Source organism: Homo sapiens, chromosome 7 (assembly GCF_000001405.40).
Source record: "Homo sapiens chromosome 7, GRCh38.p14 Primary Assembly".
In the NCBI taxonomy this organism is placed as follows: Eukaryota; Metazoa; Chordata; class Mammalia; order Primates; family Hominidae; genus Homo; species Homo sapiens.
The window spans coordinates 126,707,711-126,734,708 of record NC_000007.14 but is presented as its reverse complement, the minus strand read 5'-3'; the positions used below and the strand labels follow the sequence as shown (position 1 = coordinate 126,734,708).

General features: G+C 36.1%; 1 protein-coding gene across 25 annotated transcripts in view, besides 1 other annotated feature; it reads left to right on the top strand.

Annotated features, from left to right (window-relative positions):
* The window catches only part of GRM8 (glutamate metabotropic receptor 8), an 814,344-nt gene that overhangs the window by 518,233 nt on the left and 269,113 nt on the right, over positions 1 to 26,998 (top strand). The gene's annotated exons all lie outside the window — the stretch shown is intronic.
* Positions 14,374 to 14,423: an enhancer, noted in NCBI's record as "active region_26581". NCBI's record gives its function as "activates an Ori minimal core promoter by ATAC-STARR-seq in GM12878 lymphoblastoid cells {active_cell/tissue: GM12878}" and the evidence as "EXISTENCE:reporter gene assay evidence [ECO:0000049][PMID:35858748]".

Here is a 26,998-nt window from a genome sequence, read left to right as displayed (position 1 = left end):
AAATACGTATTTTCTTGTAGCTTTTTCATGATGTCATTTTAATAATGAAACATTGAATTCATCTTCATTTTGTGTTGTAAGTTATGAAATAGACATCTAATTTTTTGAGTTTTTGATAGCCAGTATCCAAAGTTATTTCTCAAAAAACTCATCAAATTTTTTTAGTGATGTGGAAGGCCATTTTAATATATTATTAAAATGTAATAATATGAAATATTAAGAATATATTACTATACAATATTATATTTTCTAGATCTGCTATGAATTGTCTATTTTATTAATCTGGCTATCTTTTTTTGTGCTAGTATATCATTATTTAAAATATTGCCATGATATATGTTAATATCTAATAGGGCAAGCCACTGCCATTAGAATGGGTTTCAAAATTTTGCTGGCTTTGTTTTTGAACATATAAATACATGTTTTAAAATTTATCCACTTAACTGGAATTTTTTTAGGAATAGGATAAACTTACAGATCAACTTCGAGAAAATACTATATCTGTACAGGGGAGCAATGTGTACATTTTGTATTCAACTCATATTATCTCTCAGTAGTATATTATAATTTTTAATGTAGTTCTGGGAAATTCCCACTAAGTTTATGGAGATTTGATATTTGCTGATGTTATTAATGTGTTATGACTGCTAATTAAATTTTTCTCATTATTTCAGGTAATTGTAGGTATATTAAGAAGTTATTGATATGCTTAAAATAATAATTTTTAAGTAGCACTTTTATTTACTAACTGCTTCCAGTGGAATTTCAGATTATCAGTTATTTTTATTCTTATTTCTTTTACATGTCTAATTGCATTGGTTAGCACATCTGGAATGACATGGAATACTGATTGTGATGCTGGGCATTCCTGTTTTGACCCTAATCCTCTAATACTGCAATTTTTAAATAATGCCTGCTGATCTCTGATGTCACTGTTGACCATCCTAAAAATGATTTCTAATTTAAAGTTTTACTAAATATAGATACACTATAAATTTTGTCAAATGCCTTGTCACCTATCAACATGATGATGTATTTTTGTCCGTTATTAATGCGTTTATCAATTTTTTCCAAATGTCTAACTACACTGTTTTTTGTGGAATAAATGCTTCTTTGATACTGTATATTGTTTTTAATATAATATTAGATTTAATTTTACTTAATATTTAGTATTTTATTGAGAACTTTTTGCATTAATATTTATAAATGAGACTTAGTTACAGGGCTTTATTTTTTTTTCCTCTTTTTTTTCCAAGCAAGCCACTTATTTTTTTAATTAGGAAGAAAGAGACACTGTTCATTTCCAAACATATAGCCTGACATAATACATTATTATATTATCAATTTAATGTATATTATATATAATAAAGTAAACAAATACTTTCACAAAGTAAAAGCAAGAAAAATTTGTGCTTTGCTAATCTTTCTTTTATTACAGTTTCCATTAGGTTGGATCAATTAGTGTTAAAATGTCCTTTAATAGTTCTAACATTGTTTTCACTTTATCACTTTATCAGGAAGGACATTGCTCTTTATAGGTGAGTTAGTGAAGAAGAAAAAAAAGTGATGACTAACATGATGTAAATCAGGGGTGCCCAGTCATTTGGCTTCCCTGGGCCACATTGGAAGAAGAATAATTGTCATGGGCCACATGTAAAACACACTAACACTAATGATAGCTGATGAGCTTAAAAAAAAAATTGCAGACAATTTTCCTAATGTTTTAAGAAAGTTTACAGATTTGTGTTGGGCTGCATTCCAAGCTGTCCTGGGACACGTGCATGTAGCCCATAGGCCATGGTTGGGCAACCGTGACCTAAACATAACTGATTTAGCTTGAATATGCCTTTAAACTAAACAGGATTTTTTTATTCCTAAACTATTCTTAAGAAAATTCAGATTTTCCATATCTTGAAATTTTGGTACAGAGGACAGTGATTCAATGGAAAGTATTCTACACTTGAAAAAATTTAACAATGATAAATGAAGGTATTTTCCTTATGTGGGTTTTGTGATATGCTGTAACATAGTTGAGCAGACCTTCACCTAAGCAGAAATTACTAGCTCAAATGGACTGCACAAATAAGGATAAGTGAATTTTTTGATCTGCTTTATAAAGCTCTCTATACGCCATATTCACATTTTTAATGAAACAGGAAAAATATGTTTTCTTCTTTCATATGCTAAGTGATTACAGCTAGAGAGGTTGACCTCACTAATATGTCTTCCTCTAATTTGGGATATGAATAGATTCTACTAATAACTCTTAAGGCACAATTCACACAAGATGCAAAATTCAAAAGAATAAAAAGAATGTGTTAATTGGGGACTTTGGATTTTTCTTAAATGACTTAGAGATATTTGCTGTTGCTCCGAATGGATATAGAAGACTTAATTACATAATTTCTTAATGGGCCTTTTAACTTTTATAACAGATGTTCTTTTACAACTGGTCTTTTATCATCATTAATAATCTGCCTGTAGTTTTTCAGTCGTATAGTATAAATTAGTTTATTGAAATTATATTAAACATTTAATATGGTGAAAAAATATATTATGATAATGTTTGTTCTGGCTACAAACTAAATTTAATGACTGTATACAAGAAATAACTACTAGCACATTTAAGTAAGAGTTTTGGTGATACTTGCATGCTGAGGGATTGTCAATATGGTAGCTTTCCATATTCCAGTTTTTACCCCATGGCAATTCTTCCAATATCAAATGATGTTATACCCTCAAAATAGAAAATATATATTATCTGTTAGAATTCTTTACAGTATTGCTTTAAGAACATCTCATTTAAAAAGGGGAAAATACTCCTTAATAATACAAATAATATACTTAATTGATTACTTAGATTTATTTTTTATTTATGGATATTTATTAGACATCATAGAAAATGAGGAAATAATAAAATGATATAGTCTCATTGTCTCTGGAAAAATATTTATGATAGAAATTATATGAATACATATATGTATTGATAATACCATGATCATTGTAATAATTGTGCATGTGCTGGAGAAATATTCTAATCTAAATATTGACTTATTCCTGGTGGTATTGTGGAATATGGGAATATATTAATTGTAGAAGTCAGTAGGAGATTTGGGATGCGTAGAAATAGTTCATTTTGGTAATAAAATGTCACAGAATGCACAAGTTAAGATGGTCAGTTTCTGGTAGGTACTTTGTTTCTCTTTTGTTTACTACCATTGGGAATATTCGGCCAATATTACTTCAATTTCTCCTTCTAGAAAATTTAGAAATTAAAGATAAATATAGGAAAGGGAATAGGTGGAAATAGAAATCAGGAAACGCAAAAGGTGATTCTTCAAATTTCTGGCATGATTCAAGTTCCAGGGCAAATATTTAATTCAAAGTTGGGTCTAGAGGCAAGTCAGTTACACAGGAAGTGCTCAGGATATTGAGTGGTTCTCTCACGTCCTCCTGAGAGTGGCCAGGGTATCAGAGTGAATAAAATGGCTTCTCTATGAGATCTCTTTCTAATTAATCAATATTATAGCTTTACCATTGGGACACCAGGAGAAGACAAATGATGGAAAAAATCTTTTATATACATTTCTTTCCAATTGACAAATTTGGCTTAATATGAAAAATTCATCTAAAGTCTTCATTCTTTGAGGTCCCTTTAAGCATATAATTGTATTCCAAATTAATTCTTAAAACATGTATAATTTGTTATAACTTTTAACAAGGTTTGTTAATAAAATGCTGTAATGTTTACCAAACAATTATATTCGAGAAAAGAGATGTTATACAGATTTATCGAAAAGAGAATTTGATAACTAAATTAAGTAAATGCCAACTATTATCCCTAAATGTAGATAGTAAATAACATTATTCCTTCTATGCTGTGTATCTAAACTACCTGTTTCCCTAATTTTTAATTTAATTCCTCAACATTATCTTAACTTTGATATATCAAAGTAGTAACTTTCTCCATATTGAGCCTCATATTTAAGCAGTTACCAACTATTGCTGTTTTGTTTATCGCACTATATCTTTCACGTTCCCTTCTCTCTTTTCAAATGTTTGTGACAGGCTTCTATCCTGCCTCATTCTTCCACAGATACAGGTTAGTGCCCCTTAGCTACTTGATTTTTCACAAAGTTCTCAACAGTTCCACATTGTTTACAAAATAAAATATTCTTAATTTCCTGGTCTGACATCCAGGTCCCCCCACAGTCTACCCCAAATTCACTTTTCCAAATTTACATCCTGATATGCTACAGTGATTTCTGTATTTCCAGTCCAGCTGGTGTATTCACTGTGGCAAAAATTGACCTTGAGCATCTCTAATCTTGGATCTTTGCTCAGGCATTTTCCAACTTCAAAAGTGCTCTTATTTTATTTTTTTTCCTATCCATACAAATACACATCTTTTCTTTCAAATCTTTGATCAAGCTTCATAGCCTTCATTATGATCCCAAATTATTTCAACTTCTAAATCAGTGCATTGCTAGTACTATTTCTTTGACACAATTTATGGTTTATGTGTGGAACTGTTGCTAATCTTCCTAGTTCCATGAGTCTTACATCATAGTCTGATCTGAATAGAAGACACTCAAACATTACTCTTACATTACTTCTTTATTCCTAAGTTGTTACTTTTGATTCTCCTCTTATTTGATCGATGTGTTTTGTTTTTCCAATTGAACTTTCTCAGTAAAAGATCGTCTTTCTAAACTCTTGCATATCTGATACTATATTTCTATTATCTTAGCTTGGAACACAGACTTTTGCTCCAGAACTCTTTAGATTTGTGACATTGTCATCCAGCAGTTAATGTAGTAGAGGTAGCTTAGGACAATCTGATGTCCATTCCTCTTTAGTTAAGGTCTTTACTTTTGCCTCAATACTTGAGAGACATTTACTTATTCTTACAAACCCAAAAATAATTTTGAGTTAAGGCTTCAGTGGGATTTCAGAGCTCGAGATCCTCTCTCTGAGATCTTAGATGAGGAAAAAGAAATCATAGGTGACACAAGGTAATCACATACAAAAGTCACTTCATTTAGGGCTAGTCAGTTACCCAGTATCTGCCAAATGCAGAACTTCTAAACTGGAAAACACAATTAATGTTTTGGAACTTAGTGAAGTTACCTGCTTGCTACTTCCCCAGTGCTGGACTGGTAAAAGAGTGGAGAACTAAGACAGGGAGAGAAAGGAGAAGAAATATATTACACGGCATATAGGATATGGGCAACTGGGTCTTAGTTTGGCTGCAGACTTCTGGAATCGACATGGCCTTAATTTTTCCACCCAAGGGGTAAGGAAGCTGAGATAGTTATCTTCCCCCTCACCATAGTGTGAAGGCCATTCCCTGGAGTTTTGACTCCTTGGCTCTTCTGTCCTGCTTAGCACATAGGTTGAACATGCTCCTGGGGCCAGATGACATTTTCTGGCTACAGATTGCAGGTACTAGCAGTGTGAAGCCATCAGAGCACTCTGGAATGGTGACTGAGGAGAGGGTGGGGCAGCAATCATGTGGGCTACAATTGGTGCCACGTGAGAAAATGAAGCAAAGGGAGGGTGAATAGCTAGCTGAACTTCATACAGGTGGGAGGGGACGGAATCAGGTCTTTAATCACTATGATAGCTTGCCATTGCACTCAAGGGCTGTGAAGCCTTTATGGCAGGGTGAGGAGAAAAAGAGTGAAGGAAGCTGCTACTTAAGCAGTGTGGTCAGAGAAAAAGCCTTTCTGAAAAGGTCCTGTGTGAACAGAGACCTGAAGGAAATGAAGTGGTGAGGCTAGCGATTATCTCAGGAAAGAACTTTCTGGCTAGAAGAGTGTCTGACATGTTTAAGGTACAGCAAGGAGAACAGGGTGGGCAGAACAGGGAATAAGGGCAGGCAGCTGGGAGCACCTCACATAGGGCCCAGAAGCCAGCAGGAAGCCTCCCCTGGACCATGGATGGTGTCCCTCCTTGTCACCTGTTGAGCTGATCAGTTTTCTGAGTTGTTCATCTAGCTCCTGTATTGAAGTGTTTTCAAAGGTCTTCTCTTCCTATGACTTTTCAGAATCAAGTTTTCCTTGTCTTCGAGTGTTTTTCAAAGTTACTGTATGTTTTTATTTTCTTATTTGTGCATTTGTGTGGACGGCCCACCTCTCCAGAGCCAGTGTGGGTATGCTGCTTTTCTGAGATTCTTTCTCTGCTCCTTTGTTTGGTCTTTCACAGATTGAGAAGACAATTGGAACACAAAGCTCCAAGCCCAGTTCCTAGTATCTAGGAGGCTTTCCTTTTCTGCATCATTACTGCTCTGCAATGGGATCTTTTCTTCTACTCCCGCTGTGAGCCAGCCAGCTGGGGTCCATATTTCTTCAGGAAGCAAAGGGAAATTAGTGGTTCTGCACAGATAGCATTCCAAGCAGCGCTGTCAGCAAGGGCACAGACAGGAGGAGCTTTGTGTGGCACAGCACTGTGAGAATGGCCTTAGTTCACGTGTTTCTCCCTTCCTTGATTTGCTACCCATGTGCTGCAGTCCCCTACTGGATCTGTGAAGAGAGCACTAATGGCAGTGGGGAGGGTGCGTGGCGGATAGTGGCAGATAGATTACTCATGCTGCCTTTAAAGCAGTGGCTGTGGAGTAGACAAGTTCTCAACAATTTTCTTCCTGGCATTTCTTAAAATGAGGTTCACATGCATGACTCACTTCCTTTTGTGTCTATAGGGCTTAGTAGCTCCGCCCCTTTCAGCATGTCAATCATATCAGAATGTAAGCATCAATAATGTAATCTTATATTAATTGTGCTCATGTGTACATACAATAATACTAGTAAAAAACTACTTGCTATACACATCCCAGCTGGCTGTAATGCCCAGCTACTCAAGTTTTCAGGTTGTTAAAATTCTATTATGTCTTAAAGGTTGTGGGAGATAGATATTGAGTGTGGAGAGGCAAACAGCAGGGGAGGACCTATAGTTTTGTTTTTTTAGGGGTGTGTGTGTGTGTGTGTGTGTGTGTGTGTGTGTGTATGATTTCAGATGAGCAAGTGTTTTCTGTTCTGGGCAATCCACCAGGTATGCTTTAAAATCCACTTTAAGCCATTTTGAAATTCTTTCCAGATCCTGGAATTAGGCTTACTGTAAGTACCTGCTTTAAATGAGGTATTTCCTTTTATGTTTTCCTTAGTGTTTATAGTTATTTTAGGGGGAAGTTAGAAAAGTTTGTATCTGGGACATCTACCTATATGGAAACTGATCCCATTGAGTTGTTAAGATCTTCATTGTACCAATTCATTAAGCATAGGTTTTTAATTAAATTCCCATGTAGTCATATACTATATTTAAAAATCTTACATTATTCTGAGGCAATTAAAGTTGGAATCAAATATTTTTTCTAAATATATACAGATTTCATGTATTAATATATGAATGTCAATGATCAGCATTTTTTAAAAAGTATGTTCTTAATGCACTCAAATGTGTCATACCCAACCCACAGAATTATATAGAATATTCTAAATGCAGTCTTGTTGAACCTATATATTGATATATATTAATATTGTATGTAAATATTCTATATTTATGTCATTTACCTACTTAAATATTTGGTTTAAATATATTTAGATAATAGTTAAAATTATTTTATTTTTATGATTAAATACACGTAAGTATGTATAGAATTTATGAAAAAGTTATGCAGTAATTGGAACATAGCTAATTGAGAACTATGATATACTTTGGGTGAATTTTATTTTATTAAAGAGGAAAATGATATATCAAGAATATGTAAATTTATATTAAGTGCTTGACAATATTTTTATAAATAATAACACATTACTCATGCAAACCAGAAATGGTTTTTTTTTCTTGGAGCAAATCTTGGGTGGCCTATCTTGGTTTTGTCAGAATTTTCTTTAGATTGGAAGGTTTGCTGGGCTTACAGTTTCAGATTTTTAAAAAACACTTGTTTCACTTTGTATAGCTCTGCAGTAAGATATACCAATTTTTATAAAAATCTGAAGATTTTTCTGGGAGATAGGGGCAGATACTTTCCAATTCCTCTTTTGTTTTCTGAATTATAATGGACTCTGTCTCACTAGTAGAAAAGGGCCATCAGATTCTGGAGGATTTTGGGGAAGATAATGGCAATAGGACCAGGGCCCCAGCCCTGTTCTGGGCCAGGATGGGGAGTAAGTGACAGAAATTGTTGACCACTTGGAGGATTGGGACCACCTTGCCTGGGAGAAGCTTTTTATCCCAAAGCAGTGGCCAGAGCAGGGACCCGCTCATCAGCACAGGCACAGAGGTGTATCACCCCTTAGGAGTCTGGATCCACATGCTTGTGAAGGGTCTGGATTAGTGTATCAAAGAACTATTGACTCCAAGTCTCCTGGTCCATCTAGCAGGCAAGCCACTGAAGTAGGGGCTTGCCTGCTCTCCAAGAATCACAGAACAAGGGGTCTGTGACTGCCACTAGAATGGGGACTTCCCTATCCTCTACGTTTTTTTTTTAACCTGATCCATGAATGATAACCATGATATAGTGGATGGCATGGAGTTTACTATTCATCAGACACTCTTAAAAGAGTTTAACATGTATTAATTATATTACTTCTCAAAAAATGCTGTGAGAAAATATTATTACTTCCATTTAACATTTTCTTCAAAATGAAACACAGAGAAATACTGTAGCTTGGATATTTGTCCCTACCCAAATCTGATGTTGAAATGTAATCTCTAGTGTTAGAGATGGGGCCTGGTGGGTGGTGTTTTCATCCTGGGGGCAGATCCCTCATGAATGGCTTAGGCCATCCCCTTGATAACACGTGAGCTCTCGCTCTTGAGTTCACAGGATATCTGGTTGTGTAAAAGTGTGTGGCACCTCCAACCCAATCTCCTTTACTCCTAGTCTGGCCGTGTGATATGCTTGTTCCCGCTTTGCCTTCTGCCATAATTGTAAGCTTCCTGAGGTCTCTCTAGAAGCTGAGCAGATGCCAACGCCGTGCTTCTTATACAACCTGCATAACTGTGAGCCAATGAAACCCCTTTTCTTTTTAAATTACCCAGTCCCAGATATTTATTTATTGCAGTGCAAGAACAGCCATTATATAACACAGGTACATTTAAATGTCCAACCTGATAATTGGTTAAGTCGGCCTCATAAGCTTATATTCTTAGCTTCTAGGTCATTCCTTGTTTCTATTGGAAGCCAGAAGACATTCTGTTACAGTCAGGGCTTTAGAGTAGGAGTGGACCAGATTGGATTATTCTGTATTCCTTCCACTTTTAGCCTTACTATTAGTCAACATAGGGATTGTGGACCTTCGTCCTAGGCAGTGTAAGTCTTGGAAAGAACAGATAGGGCCTCCTGCTTCTATTTGTGAGGTCTTGAGCATCACAATCTGGGGCCTGACAAGGGCATGTTCTTTGCTCAGTTGTAAAGAGGGATGCCTTGGGTTGAAATAAACATGCGTCACATGTATTTATGTACGTGATTATTCACAATCTAAGTTAAAAGTGACACACAGATCACTTTCTTTCATTACCAAGTATAATAAAACTACCCTTAGAGAAGCCAATTTTGTCTGAAAATACAAATCTAAAAGTTGGCTACAATCTACCTGTCTGCTGATAACTTGTAGACTGTACACTTTGATGCTTTCAGAAACATCTTCAGTCATCTTGAGCAAACATCTGTTCTTGTCATCTCCTTTGCAATTCATTTTCACAGCATGAACCTCATCTGAGAGATCCCACAGACTGTAAAACCTGACACAAAGTACTATTTGTTTCCAGCTATATATAAGAATGTGCATCCATTCAAGTAACTTTGGATGTCTTGTTTATTTCATTTTCTTCTCTTCCCCAAGCCAGTGATTTTTCACTTCTTTTTAAAGTACTGCTTAAAATCAGTTTTGAAGATAACAGGAGATGTATTAAAACAGTCAAAGCCCCCCAATTTTTTTTTTTTTTTGCAAATAGTTTATTATACATATGTACATGTTTTCAGCTGTCCCTTTTCAGGCACATATTTTAAAATGTGCTTTACATAAAAGTGTTCTTAAGTTACACACTTTCCACAACCATAAAGAAGATAAATGGATCACTATGAAGCATTCCTGAGATACCCATACATATTTGTTAGGTTAACCAGTTGTAATAAGCAATGCCAGACTCTCAGTGGATTGACATGAAAAAGGCTGATTGCTTTATAATTATCACAGTCCAGTGCAGGTAAGTGAGGCTGAGAGGGACTTTTCCTCCAGGCAATCATTCAGGGAACTAAGGTTCCTTTCACACAGTGACTTGGCCATCCTCTAGGGCCTCGAGTTTTCCTGCTGTATATTTGCACCTCACTAGTCAATTGAGGGAAGATAATAAGCATGGGAGACTCAGCAGGAAGCCTTTCAGAGCCAGATTTGGAATTGTCATGCAACACTTCTTGCATTTTATTGGCAGAACTCAGGCCTGCGCTTAACTACAGGGGATGCTGGGAAATACAGCTGCCTGCTCAGGAGGAAAAGAGGTACAGTTTGGTGAACAATTAGCTAATCTTCCATATCTCATTGAAGAGAACTCACAGTAGTAGCTGAGTCGGCTTCCTTCCTCTAAGCCTTGAGAGGAGGACTCAAGTGAATCACGATATCTCCAAGCAGAGAAAACATAAAAACATAATCACTTAATCACCTCACACAGACACCTGTTTAAAAATGTATGCCCTCTATGTAAATGTTGTTAGGTTTTGAAGGGAAACTAACAAATGTAAACTCCTGGAGGCCAGGAGTGCATCATATGCATAGGTGCTGCCTTTACTAAAATTAACAGTTTCTGATTTTTTCCTTCTTGTTATTTCTGATCACTTGTGTTTTTTACCTTGACCTAAAATTCTTCAACATTCTTACTTTTCACCCACTGCCCAGAGTGGCCGAACTTAAGTAGATGTTAGGAGACATAGAGTTTGCTTAGATGATTCACACAAAGATGTAGCTAATTGTAAAATTCTCTTGGAGTTTCAAAGTTCTCTACAGATCATTGTTTTCAGTATAACTACACTTTCATTTGCCCACACCTATGAGTGCAAAGCTTCCCAAAGTATTGCTGTTAACAAGAACACTGATTCCCTTGATATCTTTGGCAGTGGGTGTCCTGTTGCCTAAAGTGAAACTTTTTTTTTTTTTGGTTCGCCTCTGAGCATTAATAATTACAAATTCTTGAGCCATTGTTCTGATTCTGTCATGTTCTGAATTCTAGCATCCATGGGGGTCTTTAATTCTTGGCTTATTCATTCTTTATTCCAGATCAGTTTGCGGGCCTCTATTTCCTCCACCCAGGCCTGTTCCGTTGGCCGCAGGTCTACATCTGTAGTAACTTCTCAAATGAAGCCAACAGCTAACAGCAAATGGGGATTCTTAATTGACATAATTTCTAAATATAGGTGAAATAAAGAAATGTAAGAGGTCTCATGAAGGAGGCATAATTGTGAAGAAGATATTTCTTATACCTCTTCACATCATGTTTTTTAATGCCACCCGCAGTTAGATCTGCTTTCATCTAGATGAAGAGGCAGAGAAAGGGGCGTTATTACAGCCCTTCAATTTCTACCTCTTCCTGAGGAAATAAGGTGATCTGTTCTTTATTAATAAAGGGAAAAGCACCCTCCAAAGAAAACCTGCAAATGCACAGCCTTGTCTGATTTGATTTATATATATAATTTATATATATGTAAATTATATATATAAATTATATATAATATATGTAAATTATATATTTACATATATTATATATTATCTATAACATATATATTATATATAACATATTATATATATAATTATATATATTTTTTTTCACAGGCTCTCAGGATTAGGCATGATTCTGCCTATCACAAGCACTGTGCCAAATATTGGGTGATAGCCCCTCTCCTTAAAGATTATGAAGTTCATTCAAGAGAACAAGTTATAATGTGACAGTGCTGTGATAGAAATGACCCACAATTATTATTGTGATACGTAAGAAGACTGCTCAAAACAGAAGATGAGAAGGGAGAACATGTTATCATGGATGCATTCTTGCTTGTGCTTGGTTTCTTTAGTGAGAAAAGGGTAGCATTAGCTGCTCAAAATATAAGCAGTAGCAGAGAGTTGGAAAATTATCTTCAAGGCTATAGGAAACAAGAAAGACTTTTTAAGCTACACAGTGACATAAATAGTTTGTTTTTTAGAAAGATCATCTTCATAGTCCCATGAAGGGCTGATTGGAGAGAGATGATCCTGAGGCAGAAAGATCTAAAAGGCTATGACATTCATCTAGTGGATGATGATGAGAGCTGTGGTACTAGATGCAGAACCTGAGGCTGATTCAAGAAGTATGTAGGAGATAGATTGTATGACACTTGGTGATACTTGGCTAGATGAAAGGGATAACAAAATAGAATCTAGGCTAACTCACTTTCCTTTAGGTGATGGAAGTGTTGCTAATTAAAATAAATATAAGAGGAAGGGCACTCTGTAGAGAGAAAATACACTTAGTTTTAAACATGTTGGGTTGAGTTCCTCATGCAGGGTTCTGGAGAGGTCCAGTTGGAAATAAGATTAAAAATTTTTATGACGCCCAGGAGGAAAGTTAAAGAATAGAGTGTCCGTGCAGATTTGATGGAACAGTATCTTCTAGTTATTCATGATACCCAGTCATAGTTCATAATTTTATTAGAAACATGCATATAAATTAGTCACCTCCTGATGTCCCTCTGCTTAAGTGTTCATTGGTACAACTTTGTCTTTCAAATCCTGGGATTAGGAGGTCTTGTCCTAGCCTAATCTTCAAAAAAGCAAACAACAACAAAAAAATCAGAACAGCTAGAGGGTCTACAAAATGAGGTGAGGATTAGGCCTATTAAAAGAGGCACCATCAGGAGTGTTGTTCCTTGCAAAGTTGGAGAATGGGGTAGAGAGACTTAGAGGAAGTTTTCGACAGTACAGTTTAATACAGGTAGAGGGAAGTCATCTTCACAGACAGAGCTTGATTTTCAATTAACATTTGTTAAATGAAAGCGAATCAACAATCAGAGGAGTGCAGGAGAGGTCAAGTCTAAGTAGAAGGAGGTAAAGAAAGAATGAAAGGAAGAAAGTATTAGGTAAATTGAATGTTCTGTGAAAATAAATTGATCACTTTGATTTTTTTGATGAACCTGGGAAAATATCTTTGAAGTAGATTTCAAAGAAATTTCACAATAAGTGTTGTGGGCAATGGCAACAACACCAAGAAAGAGTTTAATCTTCTGAAAGGTCATGGAAGCATGCATTTCTTTAGATGCATGTATTATTATAGTACAGTTGGTAAAAGAAATGTTTCATTTCTTTATAACCTCATTATATTCATTCTTTAAAAAGCTCAAAGGGGAAAGCAGTGCTTTAGTGATGGCTGCACTTCAGTATTGTAAGACAAAGTATGGTGTTTGGGTCTGAATTGAAAAGATTTTTGATTGTGTAGATTCAGGATTAGACCCAAAATTGTGTGCCTTTGGGTTTGATCACCATTCAAGCCAAGCCCTGAGGCTTTTGACATTGTGAAGAAATAGTGACAGATCAAAGGATAAAAAGAAAAATCACTGCAGATAACATTCTGTTCACACATTTTAAAGACAGGTATATCCTATATACCATTGGGGTGTAGGGTCAAGCTGTTAGTGCTGATGAGATGTCAGCTCAAGAGAGCAGAAAACATTTTATGTTGTGATGACAGTAGAATGGCCAACACACTGATCTTTAATCTCTGTGTTTGCTAGAGGGAAAAAGTGAAGGAAGGCAGCAAAATAAACACAAAGCAGTTTCCTCAAAAGCCATCTGAAAGCTCTGAGTCTCCCCATACTCTTCTTAGAGATGCCAATGAAAATTCTACCTCTGTCTAGTGAAAGTTTACTTTTTTCTCATTTTCCTGTTTTGTAAAAGTAAGACAAAAATTACAAAGAAATACCTTTGGTCGAGGAAGTATTAATATATAAAATTCAGTTGGTATAAGAGATCCACATGTATTTTTGTCTATTTATAAACACTAAAAGTTTTATATTTTATTAGTATATTAGAATTATGAATCTTGGAATTGTAAAGACAGTGTGTATGGGGTCTCAGAAATAATCTACTTATCCTTTCTGTGTCATCCTTTTCAAATGAATATACTGCAACATTTTTGGTTAAAAGTTAAATTTTGCTTTCATTATATTCACATATGAAACCCTTGTCAGGAAGGTTTTCTGTCAGAAGAATGATGACTGCTCTAATAACCACTTATTCATTTAAGAGGCAACTTGTGGTCAGGCACAGTTGCTCACACCTGTAATCCCAGCTGAGGCAGGAGGATCGCTTGAGCCTGGGACTTTGAGAACAGCCTGGGCCACATAGACCCTGTCTCTACAAAAAAAAATTTAAAAAATTATCCAGGTTTGGTGGCACATGCCTGTAGTCCCAGCTACTCAGAAGGCCGAAGAAGGAGGATTACTTGAGCCCAGGAAGTTGAGGCTGCAATGATTATGCCACTGTACTCCGGTCTGGGTGACAGAGCCAGATCCCATCTCAAAAAAAAAAAAAAAATTGTGAGAATAACATGAGTTAAATATACATAATAAAGGAAGAACAGGAAGAGAGAGACAAGAAAGGAAGGTAAGAAGCAGAAGGAGAGGAGGGAGTGACAAGTAAGAAAGGGTATGTTTATAGTATATTGATATAACAGCTACTCTTACTAGAGACATTATAAATTAGAGACACTGATAAAATTATCACTATTACTTTAAAAAACATAACATTGGAATTAGAAGAAGTAAGGGAAAAGAAAAAATATAGAACTTGCTATAGAAATCAGTAAATACCTTGTATTTCTTTTTTTTTTTTTTCAAGACTAAAGACTATCTTTTAAACTAACAGCTGCTGCTTTAAAGAAAAAAAAAAAAATCCACCCACTCTTCAAGTCTCTGTCTATTTGTGATTTCCCAGCTCCCTGGAGGCCTGGTGAATTGTGTGGCATTTTTGCACAGAAAGATTACCCTGCTAAAAACTAGTGGATCACAGCCTGGGCAAACTTCAGCTATCACAGCTATCACAGGGCTGTCCAATAATACACCTCTGTAAGGTGTCGTGGTGGTTCCTTGGCCCTTCATTGTTATTTTTCACACATGTTGACTCTCACAGACTTACAACAGCATACTTTCATGTATGACATGACTGACACCTTGACAAAATCATTTACAACCTAGTTCATGACTCCTTTTAGTACAATACCTGAACCAGACCTACCCAGTTACTGGAATATGATTGCAGCAGAATTCCTATAGGTTTAAAAACATGCTGATGAATACTTTATTGAGTAAACATTTTATTTTGACCACTTAATGTAGTTTAGAAAGTGAAATCTATGTTTGTGTTAATAACAACTACTTTCAAAATATCCTTTTATATCACTCAGTAAGTTAAAACGATTAATGCATACTGTGATAATTTATTGTGTGCCAAAAATTATGCAAAATACTTTTATCCCATCAATATTATCTCATTTATTAATTTATATTTTATGATAACTTTGCAAAGTGTCTATTATTATAATACACACTTAGGTAAAAAAAGATCTGGAGTTCACAGAGCTTTAATAATTTTTCTAAACCCTCCCACCTTTTCAGTAGCTAATCTAAGAATTGAACTCACATGTGTTTGACTCCAAAACCCAGGTAATTCCATTGTCCCACAATATGCAGTATTGATTTTACATTAAATTATTTCCAAAGTATATAAAAGTAACTATATGAAAGATAATGGTACAGACCCTAATATTTTTCCTTAAAGAAGTAGATAGTAAGGTTATTTAGCTGGAAAGTATGGCAGATTATGAAAATGATTTGGAGCTACCCTCATGAGAAATGTATTTGAGTATCTCTAAGGAGTTCATAATCATGGTGAGAGCCCAAGTGAAAGTGGCTGACACGAACATATAATAGTGCAGTAACTGGAACCTCGTGGCACTCAGGCCGTTCTGGACATGGAAGAGATAGAAAGCATGAACAATGGAGCTGATCCCTGCAGTGAATAATTCTAGAGGGCTGGAGATGCAAGTCAAATGGAAAGTCTGAAGTTCACATGTGGTTACATCTACCTTTGACTCTCAGTTGGCTATGATGCCCTGCAAAGTAGCTAGTGGAGGCATCACCCTGAAAAGTCCTGGCCTCCACCACACAGCAGCAAAACAACTCACTAGCACAGGGAGACAAAAGCTCATCACTACAAATTCTTGCAAATAACTCACCCCAGGATATGAAATTTCAGAATCAAAATCCAAAAAATCTGTGAATCAACTATACCCCCACCCTAGAGCTTGAGCCTAAAATAGTCAGGTATAAACACTCTTGGTCACTGAAGTACGCATTTTTTTAACCTCCTAATATGGAACAAGCTTAGCCTTCCCTCTGGAAAACTGAGTAAATAGAGAAAAAAACACTGAAGTTATTATTATTATTATTATTTTTGAGACAGAGTCTCACTCTGTCACACTGAGTGCAGTGGCGTGATCTCGGCTCACTGCAAGCTCCCACTCCTGGATTCACGCCATTCTCCTGCCTCAGCCTCCCGAGTAGCTGGGGCTACAGGCGCCTGCCACCACGCCCTGCTAATTTTTTGTATTTTTTTTTTAGTAGAGACGGGGTTTCACCGTGTTGGCCAGGGTGGTCTCGATCTCCTGACCTTGTGATCCGCCGGCCTTGGCCTCCCAAAGTGCTGAGATTACAGGTGTGAGCCACCACGCCCGGCCAACACCGAAGTTATTAAAGACATCACCATTCAAACTAAGGAACCTATCTAACTATGTACTTATGAAAGAGTTACTCCTAGAAATAAGCAAAGAGTTTAGATGATGTTAAATTTATGTTCTTAGCACGGTTTCTAAGTAAATGATTTTTTGTCCATAAAATTATTCCGATATTAACCAAAATAATTGGTAATTTAAGTCCTGTTATAATTTTGAGTAAATAAATTATTGCCTCCTAAATTTTTATGTTTTTACAAGTATGTAAATTGGTAATATGTAATATAAAGGGAATGTATTTTAAAATGTTAGATTCCACAATTATTTGAAGTAGAAATGCAGGTTACACTACAAAGTCTACTTATTTGAAATAGTATGTAGAGAAAGCATGGTTATTGGCCTGTATTACTTTTCCTAATTGTCTCTTTTTGGGGAAGCTTTGTCCATAGTTGTATGTCCCAAAGTCCATAGTTGTATGTCCCAAACATGTTTGAGCTGCCCTCCTGGTGTGAAGGAGGGTGAAGGATGGCTGTGTCTGGTGAGCCCGCTTACTCCCAGCACTCGTGTCCCTGGATGGCTCACATGCATGCTACATGAAATCTCCACAACTCTTATTTCACCCTCCACCCCACAAGCCTCGACCTTCCTGTCAGTCACACCAGTGCTTTCCATCTCCACCCTTCTAGAATTATTTGCCTCAGGGATCAGCTCCATTGTCCATACTTTCTCTCTCTTCCCTATCCAGAGTTGCCTGAGGGCCATAGATTTCAGTGACTATACCATAATACATTTGTGCCAGCCACTTTCATTCAGGTGCTCACCACAATCATGACCCTCTAATAGATGCCCAAATCTCACAAAGATGGTCCCAAGTCATTTTCATAATCTGCTGCATCTCTCAGGCAAATGATCTTACTCCCTATTTCTTCAGGGAAAAGTTTTAGGCTCTTTACCATCATCTTTCATGTAGTTCCTTTTCTCCACCTCAAAAGATTTTAAGGAACTCTTATCTTTTTTCTGCTCCTCTTGACATGTTTATTATTCCTCCCTACTGGTGGAAGAAGAGCATGCTGGCCTCTTAGAGAATAACCCCTCCACTCATGTTCATGATTCTTCCTCTTCTCCCTCATGCTTTCCTCTCAATCACTCCCATTTCTTCATTTTCTCTCTCCTCACCGATAATTTATTTTCTACCTACAAACATTGTAAAAAATCATACATGAGAGTAGAGAGATCCTTAGAAACATCCTCAGGGAGAATGAAAGTCCTTGGCTCTTGAAGTTTCTGGGCACAGGCACACATAGAATACACAACAGAGTAGAAGTTTTGGACAAAAGAGAGCATGCATCAGGATGATGGAGGTGAAAACCAACATTTCATAGGGGAATTTAGGGAAGGAATCCTGAGTGATGCATCATGAAGTCATACGTTCTAGCAGCACCCACCCTCAGCACCCAAGGAGAATGACATAGGCAGATGCCACGGGGAGCAAAGGGTGTTATAGAAAAACAGTAACTATTACAAGCCTAACTGATCCCTTTCTGAATTTCAACACTTTTTTTTTTTTCTGTAGAGAAATAACTTAGCTGTCAAATATACTTCTCTGGCTAACTGCTTCACAACTCCAGATAGTTACAGAAATTGTTGCTGCCAACATGAGTCTCAAATTAGGCCAATTAGACTACAATTCAGGAGTCTAAGACCCTGACTATATGTAAGGAAAAAAAAAAACTGTTTTGAAAAAGAAGCCAGATGAGCATTTTAGAGAGAGAAAAAAAAGTGTTTATTCAATGTTTATTCAGTTTTCCTGCCTAAATTTAAATGCTTCTTAATTCAATTAAATTGTGTCAAACTGAGTATTATTAAGCACTTACTATATGTCTGTCTGCTCTAGAGGATGCAAATATATTTATGCCTAGGTGATATAAAATCTATTTTAGGTGAAAGGACTTATGCATGTGAAAAAAAATTAGAGAACAGAGTTCAATTATAAGCAACTGTGAAAATACATGCTCAGTTAATAACCTATCATGGTGGTCAGAAAAAATAAAATCAGTTTTGGTTGGAATTATCCATAAAGGAAATGGGACAGAAAAGCCATTGGCAGTGATAGAAAGGGTATTTGAAAAGATAGGAGTAAGGTTACCTCAGCCTACAAAAGCAAAATTTTAGCTATAGAAACATGGCCTAGCTATATTTGAATATTGGTGTTGGAGAGATAGAGATGGGTGCAAACAAATACAGTAGATCCTTAAACAACATGGATTTGAGCTGCATGGATCCATTTATCCACGAATTTTTTTCAATAAATGTATTGGAAATTTTTTTGGAGATTTGTGACAATTTGAGATAATTCACAGATAAATTATGTAGCTTAGAAGTAGCAAAAAATCAGAAAGGTAGGTATACCACAAATGTAAAAAATGTAGATTCTAGCCTATTTTATTATTTACTGCCATAAAATATACATGAATCTATTATAAAAGTTAAAGTTCATCAAAACTTACACACTTTCAGACCATACATGGTGCCGTTTACAGTTGAGAGAAATGTAAACAAACTTAAGGGTGCAGCATTAAATCATAACTGCATGAAATGAACAGTAATACATATGTACTACTGTAATAATTTTGTAACCACCTGCTGCTGCTATTGTGGTGAGCTCAAGTGTTGTGAGTATCTGCTTAAAATGCCTTGTGATGCTAATCATCTCCACATGAGCAATTTCATCTCTCCAGTAAATTGTGTATAGCAATAAAAAGTGATGTGTCAACGTTCTTGCATTTTTCATTGCATTTAGTGCAATACTGTAAACCTTGAAAGCACCATGGGACCCATACAAAGTGCCAGTAGTAATGCTTGAAGTGCTCCCAAGAAACAGAGAAAAGTCACGACATTACAGGAAAAAGTTGGCTTGCTTGATATGTACCATAGATTGAGATCTGCAGCCGTGGTTGCCTACCATTTCAGATAGAAGTTTCACCTTGACAACAGATGACATACACTTATGATATCGATAAATACAATACAGTTCTATGAATGAATTTTCTCTTCCTTATGATTTTCTTAATACCATTTTTTCTCTAGCTTACTTTATTGTAAGAATAGAGTGTGTTTATATATATATATACACATATATATCATATAAAATATGTGTTAATCGATTGTATATGTTACCAGTAAGGCTTCTGGTCAACAGCAGGCTATAAGTAGTTAACTTTTTGGGGAGCCAAAAGTTATATGCAGATTTCTGCATTGTTTGAGTGTCAACTGTATATATGAAAAAGGGGATGATCTTTTCCGTGAAGCCACTGCCTATATTGCATTTCATCTGGGCTCCCATTACACTTCTAGGAAACCTTTCTTTGATAAATTTTACAGTAGAATCTCATGGTTAAAAGCACAGGATTTGAAGCCAGACTGTCTGGTTCAAATTCTGGTTACACCACTTAGTGAATGACATTAAGCAAATTATTCAGCTTTTCTGTAACTTAGGTTTTTTCCATGTGTAAAATGGAGATAATAAGAGAACCTCCTTGATAGGACTATTGTGGAAATTAAATGACTTAAATGTGTAAAGTGCCAAGCACAACATCTGGCACAAAGTAAGCACTTTGTAGGTAGATACTATTTATTATTATTATTATTATTATTATTATTATTATTATTATTATTATTTGAGATGGAGTCTTGCTCTGTCACCCAGACGGGAGTAGAGTGGCACGATCTAGGCTCACCACAACCTCTGCCTCCTGGCTTCAAGCAATCCCCCTGCCTCAGCCTCCCAAGTAGCTGGAACTACAGGCATACATCACCACACCCAGCTAATTTTTGTATTTTTTTTTTTAGTAAAGATGAGGTTTCACAATGTTGGCCAGGCTGTACTTGGACTCCTTACCTCAAGTGATCCGCCCGCCTCGACCTCCCAAAGTGCTGGGATTACAGGTGTGAGCCACCGTGCCCAGCCAATACTATCATTATTGAATTACCTTCTGCTTGTTTCTGAGCTTCATGAAAGAGGCTATGCATTTATTTATTTAATTTAAAAATGTTTAATTAAGAAAGATTGAATATATTCAAGGTGTACAATGTGTACAATGTGATGATTAGATATACATATACAGTGTGTAGTGGTTACCACAATTAAACTAACACATCCATCCCCACCCATGCTGTACCCTAGATCATCAAACATATTCATTATAACTGAAAGTTTATATCCTTTGACTAACACCTACTCATTTTCCCCACCCACTAGCCTTTGAAGAATGCCACTGTATTATCTGCTTCTATGAGCTCAGCATTTTTAGATTTCACATACAGGCATACCTTTTTTTTTTTTTTTTTTACTTTAAGTTCTTGGATACATGTGCAGAATGTGCATGTTTGTTACATAAGTATACATGTGCCATGGTGGTTTGCTGCACCCATCAACCCAATCAGCTAGGTTTTAAACCCTGCATGCATTAGGTGTTTGTCCTAATGCTCTCCCTCCCCTTGTTCCCTACCTGCCAACAGGCCTGGTGTGTAATGTTCCCCTCCCTGTGTCCATGTGTTCTCACTGCTCAACTCCCACTTATGAGTGAGAACATGTGGTATTTGGTTTTCTGTTCTTGTGTTAGTTTGCTGAGAATGATGGTACCCAGCTTCATCCCTGTCCCTGCAGAGGATATGAACTCATTCTTTTTTATGACTGCATAGTATTCCATGGTGTGTACGTGCCACATTTTCTTTATGTAGTCTATCATTGATGGGCATTTGATTTGGTTCCAAGTCTTTGTTATTGTGAATAGTACTGTAATAAACATTCACGTGCATGTGTCTTTATAGCAGAATGATTTATAATCCTTTGGGTATATACTCAGTAATGGGATTACTGGGTCAAATGGTATTTCTGGTTCTAGATCCTTGAGGAACCACCACACTGCCTTCCACAATAGTTGAATTAATTTACACTCCCACCAAAACAGTGTAAAAGTGTTCCTATTTTTCCACATCCTCACCAGCGTCTGTTTTCCTGACTTTTTAATGATCACCATTCTAACTGGCGTGAGATGGTGTCTCGTTGTGGTTTTGATTTGCATTTCTCTATCAACAAGTGATGATGAGCTTTTTTTTCCCACATGTTTCTTAGCCGCATAAATGTCTTCTTTTGAGAAGTGTCTATTCATATCCTTTGCCCACTTTTTGATGGGGTTTTTTTCTTGTAAATTTGTTTAAATTCCTTGTAGATTCTGGATATTAGACCTTTGTCAGATGGATAGATTGCAAAATTTTTCTCCCATTCTGTAGGTTGCCTGTTCACTCTGATGATAGTTTCCTTTGCTGAGCAGAAGCTCTTTAGTTTAATTAGATCCCATTTGTCAGTTTTGGCTTTTGTTGCAGTTGCTTTTGGTGTACCATGTTTTATTGCGCCTCACAGGTACTGTGTTTCTTACAAATTGCATTTTTGTGAGAACTCTATTTCAAGTCGGTGGGTGCTGTTTTTCCAACATCATGTGTTTACTTTGTATCTCTGTTTAACATTTTGGTAATTCTCACAATATTTCAAAAGTTTTTATTATTACATCTCTTATGGTGACCTGTGATCAGTGATCTTTGATATTATTATTATAATTGTTTTGGAGCATTATAAACCTCATCTATATAAGATGGGAAACTTAATAAATTTTGTGTGTGTTCTGACTTCTCCACCAACCTGCTATTCTCCCATCTCTCTTTCTCTCTTTGGGCCTCCGTATTCTGTAAGCCATCACAATATTGAAATAAGGTTAATTAATAACCCTACAATGACTTCTAAGTGTTCAATTGAAAGGAAGAATCACTTTAAGTCAAAAGCTTAGTAAGGAAGCCATGTTGAAAGCTGAGACAGGGCGAAAGCTAAGCCTCTTGTGCCAGCTAGCCAACTTGTGAAAGCAAAGGAAAAGTTCTTAAAGAAAATTAAAAGTGCTACTCCAGTGAACACACAAATGATGAGAAAGTGAAACAGTCTTATTGCTTATAAAGTTTTGATTCATCTGTATAGAAGATCAAACCAGTCACAACATTCCTTTATACCAAAGCCTAATCCAGAGCGAAGCCCTGCTCTCTTCAATTCTATGAAGGCTGATAGTGGAGAGGAAGCTGCAGAGGTTGGTTCATGAGGTTTAAGAAAAAAGGCCATCTCCATAACATAAAAGTGCAAGGTGAGCAGCAAATGCTGATATAGAAGCTTCAGCAAGTTATCCCAAAGATCTAACTAAGATCATTGATGAAGGTGGCCATGCTAAATAACAGATTTTCAGTGTAGGTCAATCAGCCTTCTCTTGGAAGAGGATGTCATCTAGAAATTCATAGCCAGAAAGAAGTCAATGCCTGGCCTCAAAGCTTCAAAAGACAGTCTGACTCTCTTGTTAGGGGCTAATGCAGCTAGTGACTTTAAATTGAAGCCAATGCTCATTGACTATTCTGAAAACCCTAGGGCTCTTAAGAATTATGCTAAATCTAGTCTGTCAGTGCAAACAATGCCTAGTTGATATCATATTTGTTTATAGCATGATTTACTGAATATTTTCAGCCCAGTGTTGAGACCTACTGCTCAGAAAAGAAGATAGTTTTCAAAACATTAATGCTCATTGAAAATATACCTGGTCACCCAAAAGATCTGATGAAGATATACAAGGACTTTAATGTTGTTTTCTTGACTGCTAACATAACATCTGTTCTTCAGCCCATGGATCAAGCAGTATTTTGACTTTCAAGTCTTACTATTTAAGAAATATATTTTATTTTACTTTATGTTTTTGAGACAGTCTCACTGTGATATCCAGGCTGGAGTGCAGTGGCACAATCTGGGCTCACCACAACCTCCACCTCCTGGGTTCAAGCGATTCTCATGCCTCAGCCTCCTGAGTAGCTGGGATTGCAGGTATGCACCACCATGCCCAGGTAATTTTTTTCTATTTTTAGTAGAGACAGGGTTTCACTGTGTTGGCCAGGCCTGTCTCAAACTCCTGGCCTCAAGTGATCCACCTGCCTTGGCCTCCCAAAATACTGGGATTACAGGCATGAGCCATGTACCCAGCCAAGAAATGTATTTTATAAGGCTATAGCTGCCATAGATTGTGATTCTTCTTATGGATCCAGGCAAAGGAAATTGAACACCTTCTGAAAAAAATTCACCATTCTAGATGCCATTAAGAACATTCACGATTAATGGAAGGAGCCCAAAATATAAACATTAACAGAAGTTTGGCAGAAATTGATTCCAACCCTCATGGATGAATTTAAAGGGTTCAAGACTTCAGTGGAGGAAGTAACTGTAAATGTGGTAAAAATAGCAAGAGATCTAGAATTAGAAAGTAGAGCCTGAGGATGTGACTGAATTGCTGTAATTCCATAATCAAATTTGAATGGAGGAAGAGTACCTTCTTATGGATGATCAAAGAAAGTGGTTTCTTGAGATAGAATCTACTTCTGTTGAAGGTGCTGTGAACATTATTGAAATGACAACAAAGGATTTAGAATATTATATAAACTTAGTTAATAAGGCAGCAGCAGGGCTTGAAAGGATTGACTCCAATTTTGAAAGAAGTTCTATTCTGGGCAAAATGCTATTAAACAGCATAACATGTTACAGAGAAATCTTTCATAAAAGGATATGTCAATCAATGCCGTACTTTATTGTTGTCTCGTTTATGAAATTGCCACACAATTCCAACCTTCAGCAACCGCCACTCTGATCAGTCAGCAGCCATCAACATTGAGGCAAGACCCTCCACTAGCCAAAAGATTATGATTTGCTGAAGCCTCAGATGATAATTAGCATTTTAAGCAATAAAATATTTTTAAAATAAATTATGCACTTTCTTAGACATAATGCTGCTATACACTTAGTAGACTATTATAGAGTATAAAACTAACTTTTATGTGGGAAACCAGAATATTTGTGTGACTCACTGTATTGTGATATTCAGTGTATTGTGGTGATTTGGAACTGGACCTGCAATGTTTACAAGGTATGCCTGTGTAAGTGAGAACATAATGGTATTTGTCTTTCTGTGCCTGACTTATTTTACATAGCATTATGTCCCCTGAGTTCATCCGCGTTGTTGCAAGTGACGAGTTTTCTTTTTTTAATGTTTGAATAATATTCCATTGTATATATGTACCTCAATTTCTTTACTTATTCTTCTGTCCATGGACACTTAGGTTGTTTTCATAGCTTCCCTATTGTAAATAATGCTACAATGGAAAAGGAGGAATAGATATCTCCCCAAAATATTTATTTTATTTTTTAGATATATACCCAAAGTGGGATTGCTGGTTCATATGGTAGCTCTGTTTTAAATTTTTAAAGGAACCTCTGTACTGTTTTCAGTAATAGCTGTTCTAGTACATTCCCACCAACAGTGTACAAGGATTCATTTTCTCCACACCCTTTGCAACACTTATGTCTTCTATTATTTCTCCTCCTCCTCCCTCCTCCTTCTTCTTCTTCCTCTTCCTCTTTTTCGTCCTCTTCTTCCTCTTCTTCCTCCTCCTCCTCCTCCTCTTCTTTTTCTTCTTTTTCTTTTTTCTTAAACAGAGATGAGATCTTGCTATATTGCCTAGGCTGGTCTGAAACTCCTGGGCTGACACAATCCTCCCACTTCAGCCTTCTGCATAGCTGGGATTACAGGCATGAGCTACTCACCTAGCTTCTTGTCTTTTTCATAGCAGCTATCTTAATAGGTGTGAGGTGATATTTCATTGCAGTTTTAATTTGCATTTCTCTAATGATTATTAATGTTGAGCATCTTTTCATGTACCTGTTAGACATTTGTCTATTTTCTTTGGAAATACGTCTATTCAGAGCCTTTCCTTGTTTTTTCAAAACTTTTTATTTGACAAAAAATTTTATATATTTATTTTGTATAACATATTGTTTGTAATACACATACATCATGGAATGGTTAAATTGAGCTAATTAACATATGCATTACTTCACATATTTTGCAGTGAGAACACAAATTCTACTTTTTATGGAGTTTTCAAGGGTAGAATACATTTTATTAACTATATCACCATGTTTTACAATAAACATCTTAAAATTTAATCTTCCTGTCTAAAATTTTGAATCCCCTCACCAACATCTCCCCAACTGCTCCCCACATCCTTCGTTTCCCAAGTATTCCAGCCCCTGGTGTAACCACCATTGTACTCTCTACCTCCATGAGTTCAACTCTTGTAGATTCCACATATAACTGAGTTTATGAGGTATTTTTTTTGTGCCTGCCTTATTTCACTTAATGTCCTCCATGTTCATCCATGTTATTGCAAATGACAGAATTTCCTTAGAATAGTACTCTACTGTATGTACTATTCAGCCTCCATATATATATATGGAGCTCTCTCTATGTGATATATAATCTATATATGATATTTTATATATATAGAATCATATATATAGATATATACATATCACATTTTCTTCATCCATTTCATCCATTGACAGACACTTAGGCTGATTCCATATCTTCACTATTGTGAATAATGCTGCAATGAACATGACAGTGCAGATATCTATTTAATAAACTGATTTCATTCCTTTGGAAATACACCTAGTAGTGATTTGTTGGATCATATGGTAGTTCTATTTTTAATTTTTTGAGAAACCTCCCTACTGTTTTCTGTAATGGTTACACTAATTTACATTCCCACGAACTATGTACAAAAGTTTCATTTTTCCACATTTCTGACAGCATTTATCTTTCATTTTTGATAATAGATATTCTAAAAGGTGTGTAGTGATACCTCATTATGATTTTAATTTGTATTTCTCTGAGGATTAGTGATGTTGAACATTTTTTCATATACCTATTGAACATCTGTATATCTTCTTTTGGAAATGCCTATTCAGGTCTTTTGTCCATTTTTTAATTGGATTCTTCATTTTCTTACTATTTAGTTGTATGAATTTCTCATATAATTTGAATATTAGATATGTGGTTTGCAGATGTTTTCTCTCATTACATGTTGCCTTTTCATTTTGTTGACTCTTTCCTTTGCTGTGTAGAAGCTTTTTAGTTTGATACAGTCCCACTTGGTATTGTTTGCTCTTCTTGCCTGTGCTCTTGGTGTTCTAGCCAAAAAACCATTGTCAAGACCAATGTCAAGGAGATTTTCTCCATGTTTTTTTCCTAGGCTTTTAATGGTTTCAAGTCTTACATTTAGATCTTCAATCCATTTTGAGTTGATTTTTGTGTATGGTGTAAGATAAAGGGCA